At 47.3% G+C, this 1,583-nt stretch overlaps 1 annotated feature.

Moving 5' to 3' along the window:
* Positions 541 to 1,144: an enhancer, noted in NCBI's record as "NANOG-H3K27ac-H3K4me1 hESC enhancer chr2:185389775-185390378 (GRCh37/hg19 assembly coordinates)". NCBI's record gives its function as "activates a minimal SCP1, AML or CMV promoter by ChIP-STARR-seq in naive H9 embryonic stem cells {active_cell/tissue: H9 hESC(naive)}" and the evidence as "EXISTENCE:reporter gene assay evidence [ECO:0000049][PMID:30033119]".

The raw sequence follows: 1,583 nt of genomic DNA on the forward strand, positions 1-1,583 counted from the left end.
GTCATACTGACATCTGCACAAGTCTGGCTGAGTCCAGAGATTTTTATGGGCTTTAGAAGGGAGGAAGTGTGTGCAGATTGGTCCATGGGCGGCCATGGGTGGGCCCGGAAAAGGCACCGTAAGTTCTCATTTGGATTCGCGAAACTGACAGCCTGGCCCCCAGGCCTCAGGCTATCCCTGGCCTAGAGGTGGGGTTTCACTGGGGACCTACTCCTTTTTGCCTGGGAGCCTATCTGTCTCCTGCCACCATCCACAGCTCCCAGGCTGTTTCTGCCGAGGGGCACCTGAAGGCCTACGCTGAGCCATTCTGAGTTCCCCTTAGGCTGCCTTCCCATGCACGTTGGTGCCCAAAGTCCAGAGGGGGCCAAGGTGGCAGGGATCTGGCGGGTCAACACTGCCCAGAACATGTTCACACCCAGTCTGGTTGTGACAGCACCAGGGCTTGGCCTCAAATTTGCTCTGAAACCTGAGCAAGTGCCAACAGTGGGGAGAGGCCAGTCAGCGGGAGCAGGCACTTTTGAGCCTGTGGGGAAAAAGGGGCTTCCTGGACCCTTCTGAGTGCAGAGATGCCCAGGACCACAGCCACAGCTGGGTGGATGTAACTGTTCTTGGGAAGGTGAGGCTACCACCCCTCCAACTCAGGAGGCAGGGGTCCCGCCTGCTCCTAGCTCCAACCGGCTCTGTGGAGCACGTAGCAGCAGCTTCACCACCCCAAATGCAGCCACCATCATGGCAGCAGCGACTTCAGATGGGCTGCCACTGCCCATCAATTCCCTCTCTGAAGAGGTACGTTTAACTGCTGTTAGGATAGGGACAATGACTGCTCTTAACTGCTTCATGCTGACAGGGGGCATTGTTTTGAGGAAAACGGCAGTCAGACCTTCTGTGAAAGGCCTATCTAAGGGTCCCCAGTAAGAGGGAGCCATTGTCCAAGGTTCCATTTGCATGACCATTTGGAGTTTGATGGCCTGAAGATGAAAGAGACAAACCGTGATATTAGAAGACAGGAATAAAAACAAAACAAGGGGTAAGGACAGCTCAAAAATAGTGAGGCTGCTGACACACACAGAATTAGAATATTGATTCAGATTTGTACATTACCTCTCCCTTTTGTCTCTTCTAAACTTCAGTCAGTGATCAGTGGTTAGTTCACAGGAATAAGCAAGGTTAGTCTAAAATGCAAACCAAAGATTGACAAAAAAAAATTAGTTTTTTTCTTTGCTTTACAGTAACTTAACATAGTAACCCTAATTATGATTGATAGCATGTACTCAGATATTTGACTTTTAGAACTCCCATACAATTTTGGAACATATATTAATATTATTCACTAAAATATAACCTGAAGAAGATTAAAACTCATTTTAATTTTGACCCTCTCGTGTAACTAAACATGTGAAATATTCCTGTTTTTGGATGCTCCAGTGGCCCTCCATCACATCCCAAACTTACGGGTTAGAGAAGCCAATTTCAAAGCTGAAATTTGATTTTGGGAAGCCTAGCAAATACGTTAAAGCTTTAAAACACTTGATATCATGAAATAGAATTCCAGGTTTCCATAAGACATTTATTTAGCTAAAATG

This window comes from Homo sapiens, chromosome 2 (assembly GCF_000001405.40).
Source record: "Homo sapiens chromosome 2, GRCh38.p14 Primary Assembly".
Classification (NCBI taxonomy): Eukaryota; Metazoa; Chordata; class Mammalia; order Primates; family Hominidae; genus Homo; species Homo sapiens.